Here is a 19,450-nt window from a genome sequence, read left to right as displayed (position 1 = left end):
CTCACGCCTGTAATTCCAGCACTTTGTGAGGCCGAGGCGGGCGGATCACGAGGTTAGATCGAGACCATCCTGGCTAACACAGTGAAACCCCGTCTCTATTAAACCCTGTCTCTAGCTGGGTATGGTGGCAGGTGCCTGGAGTCCCAGGTACTCAGGAGGCTGAGGCAGGAGAATGGCGTGAACCCGGGAGGCGGAGCTTGCAGTGAGTGGAGATCGCACCACTGCGCTCCAGACTGGGCGACAGAGCGAGACTCCATGTCAAAAAAAAAAAAAAAAAAAAAAGAATTTTCTTGTCCAACAATTATATTTTCTTAATATAGTTTGAATCTTCTGTTTACTCATGTTTACAGCAGGGCATCTGTTCTCTTTCTTCCTTCCTTTTTGTTTCTCCCTATCTGTTTCCCTCCCTCTAATTCATTCAACAAACATATTTTGTATGTATGTAGTTGCACCAGGGGCTTGGGGTGTAGTAGTGTATAGAACAGATGGTCTCTTCTTCAGTCTTTGGTCAGCAGTAGATTTCGCTAACTCAAATTCTTCATAGAACATTGAAATAGCCAAGTAGTATACAGTAGGGTGTGGTGGGATCTGTAGACAATTCCAGGGATATTCTCATTCAGATTAACAAAAAAGAGAAGTTTGCAGGCCTTGGAAGACCTCTGTTTTAATGTAAACATTTCTCTGTAGTAGGAATTGTTGGAATTTCTTTAACCAGCTCTCACTTGCCACTCCCTTGTTGAGATTTGAGTAGTGTAGTTTTCCCTGTCTTGAAAATATGCTCCTGGAACCAGTGTGCTTTAACGTTTTTAGTGTTTTCAACTGTTTATTTCATATTAATTCAAATGAGCTCTGAAAACGTATTAGATTCCATAGTGTTTATACAACAGATATGAATTGTAAAGGATAGAATCACCCTAACATTTAATCGTAAAAAGTATATTTTTAAGCCTTTACTTGGGTTTCCATTGTTCTTTAAATTTATATAGAAAGATTGTCATTTTTGTGGTACAGTTTTTTTGTTCCCCTTCAAAGAAGGGGGGATAACAGATAAACTTTTGGATTCATTTTCCATTTTTTAATCTGAAGTTGATGTATTTCAAGAATATTATTTTCATCAAAGGATTGGATATAAATTGTGTTGGCTGCTGGACTCGGTGGCTCACGCCTGTAATCCCAGCACTTTGGGAGGCCGAGGTGGGCAGATGATGAGGTCAAGAGATCGAGACCATCCTGGCCAACATAGTGAAACCCCAATATGGTGAAACCCCGTCTCTACTAAAAATACAAAAATTATCTGGGTGTGGTGGTGTGCGCCTGTAATCCCAGCTACTTGGGAGGCTGAGGCAGGAGAATCTCTTGAACCCGGTAAGTGGAGGTTGCAGTGAGCCGAGATCGCACCACTGCACTCCAGCCTGGCGACAGAGCGAGACTCCATGTCAAAGATAAATAAATAAAAATAAAATGAATACATAAATAAATTGTGTTGTCAATTAACTGTATAATAAATGACATCAATTTTAGCAAATAACCTAGTGTACATATACTATATGTTCAAAAAGTTAAGGAGAATATAGGAATTTTACTTTGCTAATGATGAGGACACTACTCTCTTCTATCCTGTGTGACCCTGAATAAGGCTTTATTGGGAGGTTAAAGCTGAGATAGATCTAGGTTTAGTAGGAAGGAACAGATTGGTCTTCATTATGCTGTCAAAAAGGTCTTACACTAATGCAAACCATGCCTAAGAAACAAAGTGTTTTTTTCCTCTAATCTTTATATAATTTCTATTTGATTACCAGCCTGAGGTATTTTACAATCAAAGAACATATTATGTTCATACAATACCATTTTATAAGGTTTTTTTTTTTTTTTTGAGACAGAGTCTTGCTCTGTCGCCCAGGCTGGAGTGCAGTGGCGCGATCTTGGCTCACTCACTGCAAGCTCTGCCTCCCGGGTTCACGCCATTCTCCTGCCTCAGCCTCCCCAGTAGCTGGGACTACAGGCGCACGCCACCACGCCCAGCTAATTTTTGTATTTTTAGTAGAGACGGGGTTTCACTTTGTTAGCCAGGATGGTCTTGATCTCCTGACCTTGTGATCCGCCCGCTTTGGCCTCCCAAAGTGCTGGGATTACAGGCGTGAGCCACCGTGCCCGGCCAATACCATTTTATCATTAATCTCTGCAGTCAACCTTGGCTAACTTTTAATATGACATTGGCCACTACCACCTTAAAACTCCTTCCTGAAAGCTATAAAGTGAACTATTTTCAGTTTTTCTGTTCTATTTGCATTTAAGTTGGCTTCATGCAAACCTCATCATCGAAATGTTTTCTAGAGGGGAAAATTGTTACATTTGTATGAAAAAGGAGAATTTGTCACTTCTTTCAGCTAAGTTGATTAGAAATTACATGTGAAGCTATAAAAAAATAATGAAAGTCAAAGCAATCAGTAAACAGTACACTGGCCTAAACCAGTGGACAAATCTGCAGAGTACAGATGTCTGCATTAGGAGTGCAGTGTGATACCATTTTTTTTCTTTCTTCACTCAAATCTGTGGAGTTGTCCCCCACATTTACTCTGCATTCTCTGTTAAAATATTTTGTGGAAATATATTCTGGGGGAACACTGGTAACTGCACATCTTTCCACAAGTGTCTTTTATAGTATAAACCAAAACATAGATGCCATGACTTTGTCTTTTAGAAGGGAGTTTCTTGGCATCCTTGCTTAGAACTCACCCTTGAAAAGATGTTAACGCTAATCTTTAAATTTCAACAAGGTGTGTAGTTTGACTCTAAAAGGGGAATGAAGTAGCTCAGAATGCTTAAATCTTTAGAGAGCAACCCAAAGTCAAAGGCATTATAAGCTGTGGTTCAGCTAATTTACAAGGAGGATAATTGCAGAAAAATTATCATATAAGTTTACTGGAAATAACCACTAAATTCTTTAACTTACTGTGAGTATAGCCTAAGATACCTGCTTTAGTTATTTACTGCTATTTGACAAACTGCTGCAAAACAGTGGCTTAAAACTAGGACAACATATATTTTGCTCATGAGTCTCTAATTTGGAAGGGTTCATTTGGCATAATTTGTTTTTGCTACACTTTGTGTTAGATGATGTGGCTCAAAGGTGAGGGCCAGAATCATTTGAGTGCTACTCATGCACACCTACGGTGGTTGGATACTGGTTAGAACATTTATATGTGGCCTGAGCATCTTCTTAGTGTGTTGGCTGTCTTCTAAGGGTGAGAGGAAGGAGAGGGAGAAGCTGCGAAGACCTGTATTGTCTATTTATAATTTACTTTTGGAAGTCACACAGTACTACTTCCAAGACATTTTATTACTTGATAGAAAGGCCTGCTAAATTCAAGCTGGAGGGAAAATTGTCTCCACCTCTGGATGAGAGAGTAACAAGCTACTAGAAGGGCACGAGGGACTGGGAATATTGCTGTGGTTGTTTTTGGAAAATAGTTGGCTACATCATTTTACCTGATTATCTATATTCTCTTATTTCCGGCCTCAGATTGATTCAGTTTTCTGGGGCCAAAATGCTCAATAGTTAAGTGTAGAAAGTAGGAGACAGATTAAAATATTTTCCTATGATTAATGTAAAGCTCCTTCAATTACATTTTCTTTGTAATTGTATCTTTTTCTGGAACTCTGGAACCCTTAGGGGGCAGGGTTAAAATGGCAAAACCCAGCATTTTATGTTACATTAGGTGTACTGAAAAATGGTGTGATGTATTACAGTTGAATCATCAGAGTTCAAGTCACAGTTCTGCCACTTTCTAGCTGTGTGACAGAGGGACAGTTACTTAACCTCTCTGAGTTCACTCATCTACAAAGTCAAGGTGATGATCCCTTCCTTATAGATATGTTTTGTAAAACAGAGATACATTTAAAGGGACCCTTTCAGTGAATGGGAGGTCCTGGGGTCTCAGATATTATCATTAGGCAGGTTGATGAAAGTGTATGAGTTAAGATGTTAAATTTATAATGACCCAGAATGATAAAATTAAGAAACTTTTTTAGGATATTTAGATACTTAGAAGTTAGACCAAATATAGGTGCATGTGACTGGAAGGATTTAGAGTAGAGAAAAACCTAAGAAGGAATTCTGGAAGAATATGTTTCCATTTTGAAAGGTACATTATATCTTACCAGCTACCAATCAACTTTTTTTTTTCCTTTGTTTTCTTTATTTTTTGAGACAGGGTCTCGCTCTTTTGCCTAGGTTGAAGTGCAGTGGCATGATCATGGCTTACTGCAGCCTTGACCTCTTGGGCTCAAGTGATCCTACCACCTCAGCTCCTGAGTATCTGGGACTACGGGAGTGCTCCACTACATCCAGCTAATTAAAAAAAAAAAAAAAAAAAAAGTTTGGCCTCCCAAAGTGCCGGGATTATAGGTGTGAGCCTCTGTGCTTGGCCTAAAATTTTTTTATAGAGATGAGGTCTTGCCGTGTTGCCCAGGCTAATCTTGAACTCCTGGGCTCAAGCAGTCCTCACTCCACGGCGTCCTAAAGTGTTGGCATTACAGCCATGAACCACTGTGTCTGGCCCTTAACACCTTTTTACGGAAATGAATGTTTCAAAGATTTATTAAAATAATGAACAGTTAGTTAAGGTACTTTAATAAATGCCTTAATACCTTAGTTTTAAATGTTTTATATTTAGTGGAAAATGCTAATTTTCTTTTATTTTTATTTTTCTATAATAATTGTAGAAGTGACATACATGTTATAGAAAAGAAATTGAGGAAACAAATCACCATGATTCCATTACTCAGAGGCAGACTGTTAATGTTTTGTCATTTTCCTTTCAGTTTTTTTTAATATTATAGCCATCCATGGTCAAGATCATAATGTATAACTTAATAACTTTCCTTTTTTACTTAATTATCATAATAATTTCTCACATGTCATTAAATTTTATATATCATGTAGGTGTATCATACCATTTTAAGATTTTTATGATTTTTTTCTGCTAGACATAATGTTGTGATGAATATATATTTGCACATGAATATTATTTGTCTTTATTTTGATTTTTTTCCATGGGAGGTATTTCTAGAAAGATAATTACTGGATAAAAGTATGTGAATATTTTTAAGGTCTTTGATTAATTTGTTATATTTCTTTCCACAAAGTATTACCATTTTATATCTCTACTAAAGTAGAACAGCAGTATGATTATTTGTTTTTGTAAACAAAGTTGCCTAATTTGACAGTTAAAAGTATCCTTTGTAAAATTTGCATTTATGCTATCTTAGATTAAAATTTTCTTTCTAATATTTAGTATTTATTTCTTTCATTTTAATTCAAATAGACTTTCTATATGTTAGGGACATAATTTTTTCCATATATTTTCTCCAGGTTTGGAGAAATTTCATCACCCAGTATATTTTGTTCCTTTATAAACAGTTTAAAATTTATTTTTTTCATTTTGTATGAAAGACATACTAGAGTCACACTAACCTGCATGGTACAGTTATTCTTTTCAATGGATGGTAGTTCTCATTTTTAGTAACTTAGTTTTCTTCATCTTTTAGTTATTTTTAGAGTGTGTTGTGCATTTAAAGTGGATATACACTTAGTTTTTAATATTATGTTTGTCAAACTTCAAGTAACTATATTTTGGTTATTCTGAAGGGACTTTTTCATAAATAGAATTTATGAAATTCTTCTCACTGGCAAAATTTTAATTTCAAATGGACTATTTTACTAGGCCTTATTCAGGTTATATAAAAATTAAGATTTATTTATTTCCCTTTAAAATTTTTTTCAAGTGTTTTAAATTCACAGAAAAGTACAATACAATGTCACTCCCTCCGAGGTCTGTCAGATCTGAACCTTTTTTGCCGTGTGTATAATAGGAGAAAACAACTGTTTTTTCTTCTATGTTCAAACTCAGCACAGAATACTTCACCTCTGGTCATCAAAATGTTTATGGGGTTTTTTCCTCACTGACTGGTTGTCTGACACCAACTGGTTATCCTACAATTTAACTTAGCTCTGACATTATCTGCCTGGAGATAGTGACAGATCCTGCAGGTTAAGAGCTTGATCCCACAAGATTGTCCCCCACTTCAGACACCAATCTCAAGTAGTAGGCTATCCTCAATTTCTGTCCAACTTAGCTACAAATTGGAGGTGCCCACCAGCACCTTCTTGGGATCAGCTCACAGAACTCAGGGAAATACTTTTACCAGTTTATTAAAAAAGGATATGATAAAGGATACAAATGAACGGCCAGATCAGCCAGATGAAGAGATGTGTAGGGTGAGGTCTGGAAGGGTCCTGGGCGCAGCAACTTCTTTCCCTCTGGACTGGGGGTGTGCCACTCTGAGCACGTGGATGTATTCACCAACTCAGAAGCTCTCTGAACCCCTTAGTTCAGGTATCTTTCTGGAGGCTTCATCAGGTAGGCATGATTGATTATTAACTCATTATCTATTCCCTTTCCCCTCCGCATAGGATGGGAGTTGGGTGGAACTGAAGGTTCCAAGCTTCTAATCACGGCTTGGTCTTTCTGGTGATCATCCAGGAGCCCACCAAGAGTTGCCTCATTAGAAAAAAAGATGCTCCTATCACCCAGGAAATTCCAAGGGATTTAGAAGTTCTGTGTGAGGAACCAGGGACAGAGACCAATACACATATTTCCTATTAATTCACACCATGTTTAGTTCAGTTTTTAACTGTTTATTTCTTAAATAGAACTTTATAGATGGAAGTGAGGATCTCTGTGATGCTGATGCCTAATTCCATTCTCCTTTCCCTAGCCTCAGAGGTTTTTATACATTTATTTAATATGCATGTATCAATAATAAAAAGCCCATATAAATGATATCTGTACCTATCCCTCTGAAATTTATTCTTTTTTCACCAATATATAATTCACCAATATATTACATATATATAATATATAAATATTATATATGGGTGAAATATATAATATTTCACCAATATTATATTTTTAAACTTATTTAGGTTAAAATAAGTGTTGCTCTAGTTTAGTGGTTTTCAGAATTTGGTCCCCGACCAGCAATCTTAGTATCACTTGGGAACTTATTAAAAATACAGCTTCTCAGGCCAGGACTGAATAAATAAATTGTGCTACCCAGTACAAAATGAGAATGCTGGGCCCCATGTTTAGAAACTATTAATAATGTCAAGATGGTGACAGCAGAGCATTAAACCAGGTGCAGGGTCCTTCCGTGCTTGGTAGCTGTGAAGCTAGCCCTGTCTAGACCTCACTCCTGACCTAGTGAATAGAAACTCAGAGTAAGGACCAGCAATCTGTGTTTTAACAAGCCTTCCGGGTGATTCTTTTGAATGTTTAAGTTGTGTTAGTTTTCTACAGCTGCCATAACAAAATACCACAGATGAGGTGGTTTAAAGAACAGAAATTACAAACCTGCACATGTACCCCTGAACCTAAAATAAAAGTTAAGAAAAAAAAATTATTTTCTGAGTTCTGGAGGCTGAAATTCTAAGATCAATGTGTTGGCAGGTTTGCTTTCTTCTGAGGTCTCTTTCCTGGCTATGCAGTTGTTCACCTTGCTCATATGGTCCTCTCTGGTCTATATGCAAGCATGCTAAGTTCCTCTCATAAGGACATTTCCTCTTATAAGGACACTAGTCAGATTAGATTAGGACCCACCCACTCTAATAGCCTCATTTTGACTTAATCACCTCTTTAAAGGCCCTGCCTCCAAATACAGTTATTCTGAGGTGCTAGAGGTTAGGGCTTCAACATATGAATTTTGGAGGGACACAGTTCAGCCCATAACACCACTACTATAGTTCAGTGAAATTTTAGGGCTATATTATATTCAGTTGTATGATTATACTGTATCTTTTGTGCTGTTGCTGGACATTTAGGTTATTTTCCGTTTTTTTTTTTTTTTTTTTTTTTGCTATAACAATGCTGCTATGGAGAGTCTTGTATAAATATTTTGTATATCTTGTGAATTTCTCTAATTCTGATGATATATAATGGGATAGAATTATTGGATTGTAGCAAGTAGAATCTCTGAGCTTTAGCTGATATTGCCAAGTTGCTCAGCAATTTGGAAGTGAAGAGAATTCTTCGCTTCTCTGAAAGTGTAAGAGAATTCTTGTTTCACTCTCTCCCAGGCAACATTGATATTGTTAGACTTTAAAAAAATATTCTGGGTGGGAATTGAACAATGAGAACACATGGACACAGGAAGGGGAACATCACACACCGGGGACTGTTGTGGGGTGGGGGCGGGGGGAGGGATAGCATTAGGAGATATACCTAATGCTAAATGACGAGTTAATGGGTGCAGCACATCAACATGGCACATGTATACGTATGTAACAAACCTGCACGTTGTGCACATGTACCCTAAAACTTAAAGTATAATAATAATAAAATTAAAAAAAAAAGTTCTGATAGGCATGAATTTCATAGGGTTGTTTTAATATGCATTTTTCTGCTCATTGTTAACATTGAGCATCTTTTTATGTATTTATTGATCATTTAAGGTTTTCCTTCTCTGTGGATTACATGTTCATGTTTTTTACCTGTTTCTTTTGGGTCATTTGTCCTTTTCTTATTGATTTGTAGACTTTTTCTCCCTAGCATCTGCATTTACACCATTATTGGTTATGTGTGGGCGAAATACATTTTTCCAGTTTGTAGAGTTATTCACTTTATGAGGTCTTCTTTTCTGTATAAGTTCTGAATTTTAATGGCAAATTTATCAGTTTCTTTTTCTTTATGATTTCTTTTCCTGTTTTTATTTTTGATATGGTTTCTTAGTGTAGACTTCAAGTGCCCTGATGTCAATCGAATTACAACAAAAAAACCCCCAAAATCCTGCACTGCCTTTTGTTTAATGGAAGGCTGCATCTATGCTGTTGATTTTGCTAGTGTGTAATTTTAAATGGTGGTGTTTTGGCTTTAGGAGACAACTTTTTCTGTAACGCAGCACATGTGGTTTGGAACCATATTTTGAGCTGTTTAACAACACAAGCTTCTATTTCTGTATATGGGTGGATTTGTCATAATGATATTTAAATAAGTAAGTTTAATTGTCTGTTAGTAAATAAAAGAGAACAGTGACTCCATCTTTGGGTATGTGTTGTCTTGGGTTTTCTTGGCCTTTTGTAGCTCAGTATCATCATCTAGAAATACACTGAATACTTTTTATGCTGCTAACAGTACTAGTGTTTATTTGGGAAATATTTGTTAATGTCATTTTACTAAAAATTTCGGCCATTTATTACCAAAAAGTAAGGTTTTGTACCAGTCCAAGGCAACATTTTCTCTTTGTGCTGAGTTCCCACATACACTTAGTACATTTTTTCAAATTTTATTACCTTCTCCCAGCCCCACCCCCTTGCCACAACTTCTAACAAATGCATATAATTGTGTCACTGATAGTTGTAAATGTCTACTTGACTCATTGAGGGCCCATTGATTATTTGGATATAGACTATGTATACTCCCTAGCCCCTGCTCTGGGAACATTTTGGCTGTTTTCAGACTTGCTTATATCTCCATTACAAAGCGATGGTATATACCAAGGAGGAGGTGAATACCATCTTCCTAATTGTCATGAGTTACTTTTTGGTGGCCGAACTTGGTGGACAAAGTTCAAAAAGTTTTAGGATGATGATAATTGAAACTAGTGTGGTCCAGTGTTAGTATCAGAGCTTGTTAGATTTGCAAATTTCTCAAGCCCCAGCGCAAACCTGCTGAATTGGAATTCCTAAGGATGAGGCCAGGGAATGTTTTAACAAGCTCTCCAGATGATCTGAGGCAGGTATCTGAAGGGCTGTTCCGCAGCATTTCCTTGCTTTCATACAGTTCTCTAAGGACAGCATGGTATGAAATTTCTAACAGTGTAGTAGTGTTGATAGAGCAACTTATAGTACTTGCTTGTAGCTCTTTTTTTTTTTTTTTTTTCTTGCGGTGAGGAGATGCAGTAGAGGGTGGGCAGGCTAGAAGAGTGTGAGGGAAGCGGGGTGGGTCTGATCCTTTCACTCTTCCTGGAAAACATTGGCCTTTATGTCTTTTCACTGTCTGCCTGGACTGCTGAAGTTATATAAGCTTTTTGATGTGCATCTGATGTCCCTAATTTCAAAGTAAAATCACTGACTTATTGAATATTTATTTGCATAACGTCGTTGTTTGGCCCTGTAGAAGATAAGAGGAAATATATATAAGGTGTGATCCTCACCCACATGCTGGAACATCATAGAGACTTGGGTTCAAATTGTGCCACTGAACTTGACTTGAGCAGTAATCTTTGGCAGAGTTCTTAATCTCCCTACATCTCATTTTCTTCTATTGTAAAATGAAAGCAGCACCTACTGTGCATTTGTTACTGGGATGTTCAAAGGATTAAATGAAATAATGTATATGAAGCACTTTAAACATAATAGGCACTCAGTAAATGGTAGTTGGATGCTATTATCATTATAATCATCATCTAGTTATTTCTGTATTTGAACATCACACTTGACTCTACAGGGCATACTATATTAACGGTCTAGGTGACACTTTTCAGGAATTGCTTTCCTGGCTCTGTGATGATTCCATCACGGTGGATAATTTAATTAGCCCATGCATGCTGAGCACTGTGGTTGTGGTGCTCAGTAAAAGATGTGGTATAGAAAGAACCAGGGCTTTGGAGTCAGACAGATCTTGATCTGTCATTACTCCAGAAGTCACGAGGTGTGCATCTTGGGCAAGTTTCTCTTCTTCCATTTCTCATCAGCTAAAAAAAAAAAAAAAAGAAGGAAAACACTCACTTTGATGGATTATTGTGGAGATTAAGTGAGACTACATGTAAAGCTCTTGGCCCGTAGTAGGTGCATGGTAATTTTTGTAATAAATGTTGCCTTGTCCCCTTCCTTCCTTTCATACTACAGAATTTTAGTGTCTGTTATCCCTAATATATGTTGAGTATTCTTCCACTCTTTGCACTTAGAAATCATGAGGCTAAACCAAGAGTCTAAGTAACTTACTTGCAAGAGAAATGTTAGAGCTAGCTTAAGCAGAAGGGGATTTATTAAGGTGTAATCGTTTACTAGGTCTTTGAGGGAGCAAAAGCAAAAGACTGTAGGCTGAGCTTCTAGATGCAACTCCTGCTAGAACCACACTTTTCAGCTGTCTTACTAAGTGAGCTGCAGCCAGTTCTGGTCTCAGAACCCTAATGCTCTGCTCAAATTTGGAAGCTACTGAATGAAGAGCTTCAGTTTTTGCTGCTGGCCCCAGAAGAATCATTACCTCGCCTGCCATCATTGGTGGATCTGCCTGTGTTTGATGCTATCTTTCCTTGTTTTCTTTCTCCCTTTGGCTTCCTAGGAGTGCTTCTCCTTGGGAAACTCAGGGCATATGCAGATCCTAATTGCAAGGAGGTCTAGCAAAAGTATACTTTAGCTTTCTAGCCATTTTGGTATTGTATGACATGCTAGAATGGGATTGGGTGGGTGGTGAGGACAAATCTTCTATATCTGCCACAGCTTTCAAAAAGGAAAGGGGCATGAGACATATTGATTTAGCACCTTTGCTGTCTTAAAATCTTATCTTAAAATAGATGATAGTTTCAAGAGAGGAAAGGGAAAATGTCAATCCAGTAATGTTGATAGGAGGTAAGTTCTATAGTAAAGAAAAAAAAAATTTTGTAGGTGAAGCCCAATTATTAAAGCAGTGTAAGAATCTAAATAGATCCTGTTGTGTTTATTTAGCTTATAGTATATAAATTTTATTTTTAAGAATGTCTTGTAACTCTTTTTTAACTTCACAGTTTTGCATTAGGGTATGTGGATACAGCATTCCTGTCAGGCTATCAGGTTTGCTCATTTTTGCCAATCAGAAGAAAAGTATATATTCTTGTTGAATTGATATCTTAAAACCTAGACCCATGCAAAAATTTTGTAAATGTAAATAATTTATATTACTTTGAACACATTTATGGTGGGGGTGGAGTTGGGATTAAGGTAAAGTTTTCATAAAGTATAGCGTCTAATTTATTTTACTGTTCTGTAGACTAGTACTGCCTAATAGAAATATAATGCAAGCCATGTGTATAATTTTAAATTTTCTAGTAGCCACATTAAAAAAAGTAAAAATAAATATATGAAATAAATTTTAATATGATTAATTTAACCCATTATATCCAGAATATCATTTAAACATGTGGTACTAGCCACATTTCATATACTCAAGCTACATGTGGCTAGTGGGCACCTATTGTCTGCCTTACTTCATACTAGAACTTTTCTGATTTGAGAAGTACTGAAATATACAATATGCATGTTTATAAAATGTTCACTGTGTGCCACATCTTGATAATACCTTACTGCTTACACTTTAAAAAATAACAATATGATTGTAAATCAGTGCCACTCCCCAAATTATAAGTATTGATATAATGACTTGCTGTATTTTATGAAAGTTCTGTAAGTGTATGAACTATTAAGAGTTTAGGGGTGTGAAGTATGATACTGAGGTACACTGTTACAGGCATGGTTTTGATGGGAGGTATTAGGCCATGCGAGTGTAGACCATTGCAGTTAATCCCTACCACTTAACCAGTTCTTGATGGTGTATCCAGAGCACTGTTTATCATTGTCGTTTCCCTGAAGAAGTATCTAAATTTTTGATGAGTAAATTTTTTTAAAGCACATACAATATATATTTTTATTTACCTATAAACAATGTACATGTATGATTGTAATAATATGTCAATTCTGAAACAAATAGAAGTATTAGAAACAAAAAAAGGATTAGGTTAGATTAGGTCTGACGTGTAAGAGGACACTGACAAAATCTCAAATATAGAGGCCTGGTATGGTGGCTCATGCCTGTAATCCTAGCACTTTGGGAGCCTGAGGTGGGAGGATCACTTGAGTTCCAGACCAGCCTTGGCAACATAGCAAGACCCTGTCTCTACAAAAATAAAAATAAAAATAATACTGAGTTTTAGGCTGGGTGTGGTGGCTCATGCCTGTATCCCATGCACTTTGGGAGGCTGAGGGGAGAAGATTGCTTGAGGTCAGAAGTTGGAGACAAGCCTGGGCAACATCGTAAGACCCCATTTCTATAACTTTTTTTTTTAAAAAAAACCAGAATTTTAATATTTTCCACGCACTCCAAATAATTGCCTTGAGTAGACACCTTTCTTTGTAGACCGGTGCTCTAAATCTATGGAGCATTGACTCTCAAACTTGATTGATCACCAGGACCCCTTGGGGACATACACAAAAAGAATAATAAAAACAATGAAAAAAGTATGTCTTTACATATCACTATAGACATAAATAAAATTTCACGTGTGCATGTGTGTCTGTGTATGTGTGTGTGAGGAATATGTATTTAAGTTTTTAAATATGAGAATCCCTGTTATAGTTAGCGAGAGTTCTTAGGATTCATGGGAACTCTGTGAAATTATTTACAACATTATATATATATATATTCAGGCCTTCTTCAGAGGAGAAGATCTGTAGTTTTTATCAGAATCTCAGGTGGTCTTGTGTCTTGATAAAATAACAGCCAAGTAAACGCTAGTGTAGATACGTGAATTGGAATAGGTTGTTGGACTTGTGAGGCCAGGATGGATTCCTTCAGCATTAAGCTTCCCTGCAATCATGGGGCTGTTAAGACTGAGCAGTAGGCAGAGTTGGGAATGGTGGTATTTGTGCTGTTTCATAGATGAGGGCAGATGGATCTGGGAACTGACCTGAGGTGGTAACAGACTAGGGTCATAATTATATTTAGAAGGTCTGACATGTAAGAGGACACTTAAGAGTCTAGTGGACAAAGTCAAAGTCTGAGTCTGATGGCATAGGTCAGATTTTGAAGTCTAAGTAGACAGGCCAATGTCCCTGACAGGGAAGAGGGCTTAGGCAGAAATAGCATACTAATATTCAAGGCTTTTTTTTTTTTTTTGAGACCTAGTCTCACTCTGTTGCCCAGGCTGGAGTGCAGTGGTGCAATCTCGGCTTACTGCAACCTCCACCTCCCGGGTTCAAGCGATTCCCCTGCCTCAGCCTCCCGAGTAGCTGGGATTACAGGCACCTGCCACCACGCCTGGCTAATTTTTTGTATTTTTAGTAGAGACAGGGTTTCACCGTATTAGCCAGGATGGTCTCAATCTCTGGATCTGGTGATCTGCCTGCCTCGGCCTCCCAAAGTGCTGGGATTACAGACGTGAGCCACTGCACCATCATGGTAAGTTTTCCCAGATTCTGAGTGTAAAGGAAAAAACAAACTTTTTTTTCTTATTCTCATATAGCACTCAACACTGTTAACACCAGATTTTCCAGTAGACACCAACTGGGTGTCCTATAATTAAATTCAATTCTGACAACATCCACCTGGAGATAGGGTCAGATTCTACAGCTAAGGGCTCAGTCCCGCAGTACTGCTCCCTACAACCCACCTTCAGATGCCAATTGCAAGTCCCTGGTTGTGATCTGTGCTTCTGATTGACTGGGTGTAAGGTATAAATCAGGGTTCCCATGACCTCCTCCTCAGGTTTAATTTGCTAGGAGGGCTTACAGAACTCAGGGAAACACTTATGTTTCCTGGGTTATTATAAAGGATATTACAAAAGGTACAGACAGGCAGCCAGAGGAAAGAGATGCATAGGACAAGTCTGGTGGGGTGCAGAGCTTGCATTCCTTCTCTGGGCGTACCACCTTCCCAGTACCTCTATGCATTCAGCAACCTGGAAGCTCCTCGAACTGAACCCCTTTGGGGTTTTTATGGAGGTTCATTATATGTCATGATTGATTACATCATTGGTCATTGGTGATCAACTCAATCAACGTTCAGACCCTGTCACCTCCCAAAAGGTCAGGGATGGGGCTGAAAGTTCCAGCCCACTAATTACATGATTTGTATCCTGGCAACCAGCCCCCATCCTGAGGGTATCCAGGAGCCTAGTAAGAATCACCTCATTAGAACAATAGATGCTCCTATCACACAGGAAATTCCAAGAGATTTAGAAACTGTGTCAGATTCTCCTATCACTCAGGAAATTACAAACGTCTTAGGAGCTCTGTCAGGAACTGAGGTTGAAGACCAAATAGAACAAGATTCTCCTAGTGCCCCTATTGCTTAGGAAATCACAAGGGCTCTAGGAGCTCTATGCCAGGAACCATGGTTAGAGAACAAATATATATTTCTTTTTTTTTTGAGACGGAGTCTCGCTGTGTTGCCAGGCTGGAGTGTAGTGGCGTGATCTCGGCCTACTGCAACCTCTGCCTCCCGGGTTCAAGCGATTCTCCTGCCTCAGCCTCCTGAGTAGCTAGGTCTACAGGTGCGTGCCATCACGCCCAGCTCATTTTTGTATTTTTAGTAGAGATGGGGTTTCACCATGTTGGCCAGGCTGGTCTGGATCTCTTGACCTTGTGATCCGCCCACCTTGGCCTCCCAAAGTGCTGGGATTACAGGCGTGAGCCACCGCGCCCGGCCATATATTTCTTATCACAATGTCACACTGGGCCATTGTCCCTAAGAAGAAAGTTATATGAAGTCTTCTGTTTGGAGAGGGTTGTGACCCTCAAATTCCTGCCAACTCCAGAATTCTATAATTTAAATTCAGTAAATCCTCTTCCAATAAATGGTTACATCCAGTAATTTATGTCCTTGTCATATGTTTTACTTAGAGGCACAACTATTATGTTTCAGCATTGGTGTGTGTTCTTGATCATGAATTTACTCCATATAAGACCAGTCCTTAGAGTACTCCTCCAAACCTTCTGAACTTGAGTTCTTTTCCCTCCCCTGCCTGGTGGTGTTGATTGGGCTTTTTGAGTCCTGGGATAATGGTCAGACCGTCCTATGAAAGGTTAGTACTTGAACCAGCAGCCTTGTTTCCTGTTTTTTATTTGTTGCCGTCACAACTTAGAGGAGACTAGGAATTGTCATACCCCTTTTGTACATAAGCCAGCTTGTTAAAAGGAGTCTTGTTCCCTGAGGATTAATTGAGATCATGTTGGAATAACATCTTAGGGAGGAGTCCCCTGGAGAAGTTTTCTAGAAAAAAAAGAGAATGCATTTGTCTTGATCTAATTGAGCGTTTCCTATAATATCAGTATTTACAGACTTTTTTTTTTTAGCTTTTTGTTAATCATTTCATTTCAGCATTCATATTTTATAAGAAAATATTTCATGTGGTGAATTTGAATATACATGCGATGAAAGCGCTGGAGCTTTCTGAAGTAGAAAGGTACATAAATACTGGATTATTTATCAATTTATTAGGTATGTATATTTCTGATTGTTGCTTCAATGTTCCATTGTTTTCCTTTCCTTTTAGTGTTTTTAAATAATTATTACTAAGAATTCTTGCTGTCATTATTTTCTACCAGTCAGATCTTTGAATTGATCATATTAACAATATAAAAAATATGCGGCTTTCTGTTTCTCAAATTTCATGCAGTTCAGATGTCAGAACCTTCTATGTCTTTATAGCTAAAATGGGGATTTTAAAGAATCAAATAATGAAATTGTGATTTTAATGCAAGTTTTTAATGCCCCAGAGTATATCTGTGCCTGTATTTGCACACATACACACACGCATGCATGCACACACACACATACACACACACACATAATGTAGATTTCCATTTGCCTCAATCTTAAAATTAGCATTTGTAACAGTTCTGGTAGTATAGTTTGCCTTGTGAAGAACCCAGAGGCCTGATACTGTGTCAGTAAAACTGTCTCTTAGGTATGATTCAAACAGTTTTATTAGCAACATATGGGGTATGAAGGAGCCACAGAGGGGAGTGTGGAGTGTGAGGGTGCTGGTCTGTCTTTTTTGGCATGTAATTAGATCAGTCCTCATGCATAGTGTTATTTGTTGCTGCTTAGGGAATATGGAAAAATAACATCTAATGTAGTGAAACAAAAATCAGAATAAATTATAATTGTTGAGTTTATAGGGAATTGTTTGGATGAAAGATGTATTTTTTTCAAACCTAAATTTTGTTTGGTATTTTAAATTTTATTCAATCAGTATTTTAAATTAAAACCCACATTTTCAACAATTTTAATTTTTGGATTAACTTTATACAATAGATGCATAACTGAGTTTGATAGATGGGGAAGAAATTTGTTTTTTTCCCCCTATTGTGACAATATATGGTTCTGTTTAATTAGTTTCACTAAATATTAATTTTTCTTTGGAGTTATTTGTAGCATTTAAATGATTACAGTACGCTGATTACTAGATGCTACACAGAGAACAATATCAGACACAGCCTGTGGGCTTATGGAGTTTCATTCTATAAAAGCAATCACATATAGAGGATGTTTAAATAGTGGTAGAAGTGATACACATGTCAGCAAAGTGGTTACCTTTGGGAAAGAAGGAGGGAAATGGGATCAGGGAGGAGTATGTAGGAGCTTCATTTATAAGTTTTTTAGACTTCTCTTTCAACTAAGATTATTGATTGTCAGAGACTTTAAACAAGAGATTCAGGTTGAGGCAAAGGTAGTGGAATAGTTCGTTTCATTTTCCTTCCCTATAGATATTACCTGACTTGCTCAGTACAGTTTTTTAAAGGGAGGAGGGTAAACTGGTAGAGATTGAGGGAGAAGCCATAGTGGTGGGGGAGCAGGGAGCATTCTGGAAAGAGCCCTGTAGAAAAAGGTACTGAAATGTTTTTTAAACTTCTTCCCAGTTTTGCTCACTACCTTCAGCCTTAGGTTACATGTAATTATTTATATTATTGTCTACTCTGAATTTCACAGGTGATTTCTCAGTCTTTATGTAGGAAAGTTACTGAGAGGTAAAATTTCTTTACTCTAGATTTACATTTGGCTTTAAGACTGTTCTCTGAGACCCAGTCCTCTGAAATGGATAATTCGTAAACTAATTCTCAAATGGCTAGTCTGGTTCCTTCTGTATGCTGGTGAAAGAATATCAGAAGCCAAGCTGTTCAATATTTAGATTGTAGTGATTAAGAAAGCAGCATGGATTATATGTTTATTTCTAGAGTGTGAGCAAATAGGGTCACACTTCAAGTGCTTTTCAAATGCTTGTGACTGCTGTCATGTTTTATGACATGATGATTTTATGTAACAGCTATTTCCATGGAATTACTTTATTTGAGGAATAGACCAAACTTCTGCTTAAAAACATAAAGAAATCTTTACACTTACCCTTCCTATGAAAATTTAGTTGAAAGACCAAAAAGAGAAGTACATTTATGTAGTTTTGTTTTACTGGGGGAAAAAACTAATAAGAATTAGTTGTGTAATAGATGGGAGTGATTTTAGACATAAGAAGAGAAAATATTAAGTACTTGTAATCTTTACTTAGAGAAAGTGAACCCCGCTCAAGGAAATATAAGTAAATAGTAGTAATCTTAAGTTTATTATTTAAACCTCTCTTTCCTACCAGATCTTTTAAGAGTAGCTAAGAAATATCTTTCATCCAATTTGCATTTAAGTGTTATTATCTTTTCTTGGAAGACCACCTTCTTTTTATTTTTTTGTTTTACTTTAAGTTCTGGGATACATGGGCAGAACGTGCAGGTTTGTTACAAAGGTATACATGTGCCATGGTGGTTTGTTGCCCTATATCAACCCATCATCTAGGTTTTAAGCCCCATATGCATTAGGTATTTCTCCCAGTGCTATCCCTCCCCTTGCCCCCCCACCCCCGGCAGGCCCCAGTATGTGATGTTCCCCTTCCTGTGTCCATGTGTTTTCATTGTTCAACTTCCACTTATGAGTGAGAACATGCAGTGTTTGGTTTTCTGTTCCTGTGTTAGTTTGCTGAGAACGATAGTTTCCAGCTTCATCCATGTCCCTGCAAAGGACATTAACGCATTCTTTTTATGGCTGCAAAGTATTCCATGGTTTATATGTGCCGCGTTTTCTTTATCCAGTCTATCATTGATGGGCATTTGGGTTGGTTCCAAGTCTTTGCTATTGTAAATAATGCTGCAATAAACATACGTGTGCATGTATCTTTACGGTTGGATGATTTCAAATCCATTGGGTATATACCCAGTAATGGGATTGCTGGGTCAAATGGTATTTCTGGTTCTAGATCCTTGAGGAATTGCCACACTGTCTTCCACAGTGGTTGAACTAATTTACACTCCCACCAACAGTGTAAAAGCATTCCTATTTCTGGTAGACCACCTTCTAAACAATGTAGAAATCCTAACTGACTGGATAATCAACATTTTACTATATAGACATTCACAACTAAATATGTCCATTAGAGTTCAGAGAATAATTGAAATAATAAAATGTGGTATTATAATATTAAAAAATCTGTTAAGCTTATAGTATATAGATTAATTAAAATAACCCATCTAAACTATAAAATAATGATCAATAGTTATTGCCTTATATTTGTGAAGCTCTCTTAGTATTATAATGCGTTACAAATGTAATTTATATTTCTTATATATGCTGTTATATTTTATGATTATAACGGTTTT

The 19,450-nt window shown here is 37.4% G+C and overlaps 1 protein-coding gene across 58 annotated transcripts in view, besides 2 other annotated features; it reads left to right on the top strand.

Annotated features, from left to right (window-relative positions):
* Positions 1 to 19,450, top strand: part of QTMAN (queuosine-tRNA mannosyltransferase) — a 395,002-nt gene that overhangs the window by 43,758 nt on the left and 331,794 nt on the right. The window lies entirely within an intron of this gene.
* Positions 1,189 to 1,690: an enhancer, noted in NCBI's record as "H3K27ac hESC enhancer chr2:145045189-145045690 (GRCh37/hg19 assembly coordinates)". NCBI's record gives its function as "activates a minimal SCP1, AML or CMV promoter by ChIP-STARR-seq in naive H9 embryonic stem cells {active_cell/tissue: H9 hESC(naive)}" and the evidence as "EXISTENCE:reporter gene assay evidence [ECO:0000049][PMID:30033119]".
* Positions 11,136 to 11,430: a silencer, noted in NCBI's record as "tiled region #4867; HepG2 Repressive non-DNase unmatched - State 24:Quies". NCBI's record gives its function as "represses a minimal TATA promoter and a strong SV40 promoter by Sharpr-MPRA in HepG2 cells {active_cell/tissue: HepG2}" and the evidence as "EXISTENCE:reporter gene assay evidence [ECO:0000049][PMID:27701403]".

The sequence above is a fragment of the Homo sapiens genome, chromosome 2 (assembly GCF_000001405.40).
Source record: "Homo sapiens chromosome 2, GRCh38.p14 Primary Assembly".
Lineage (NCBI taxonomy): Eukaryota > Metazoa > Chordata > Mammalia > Primates > Hominidae > Homo > Homo sapiens.
Note: the sequence above shows the minus strand (reverse complement) of the source record. Positions and strands in the feature narration are given on the sequence as shown.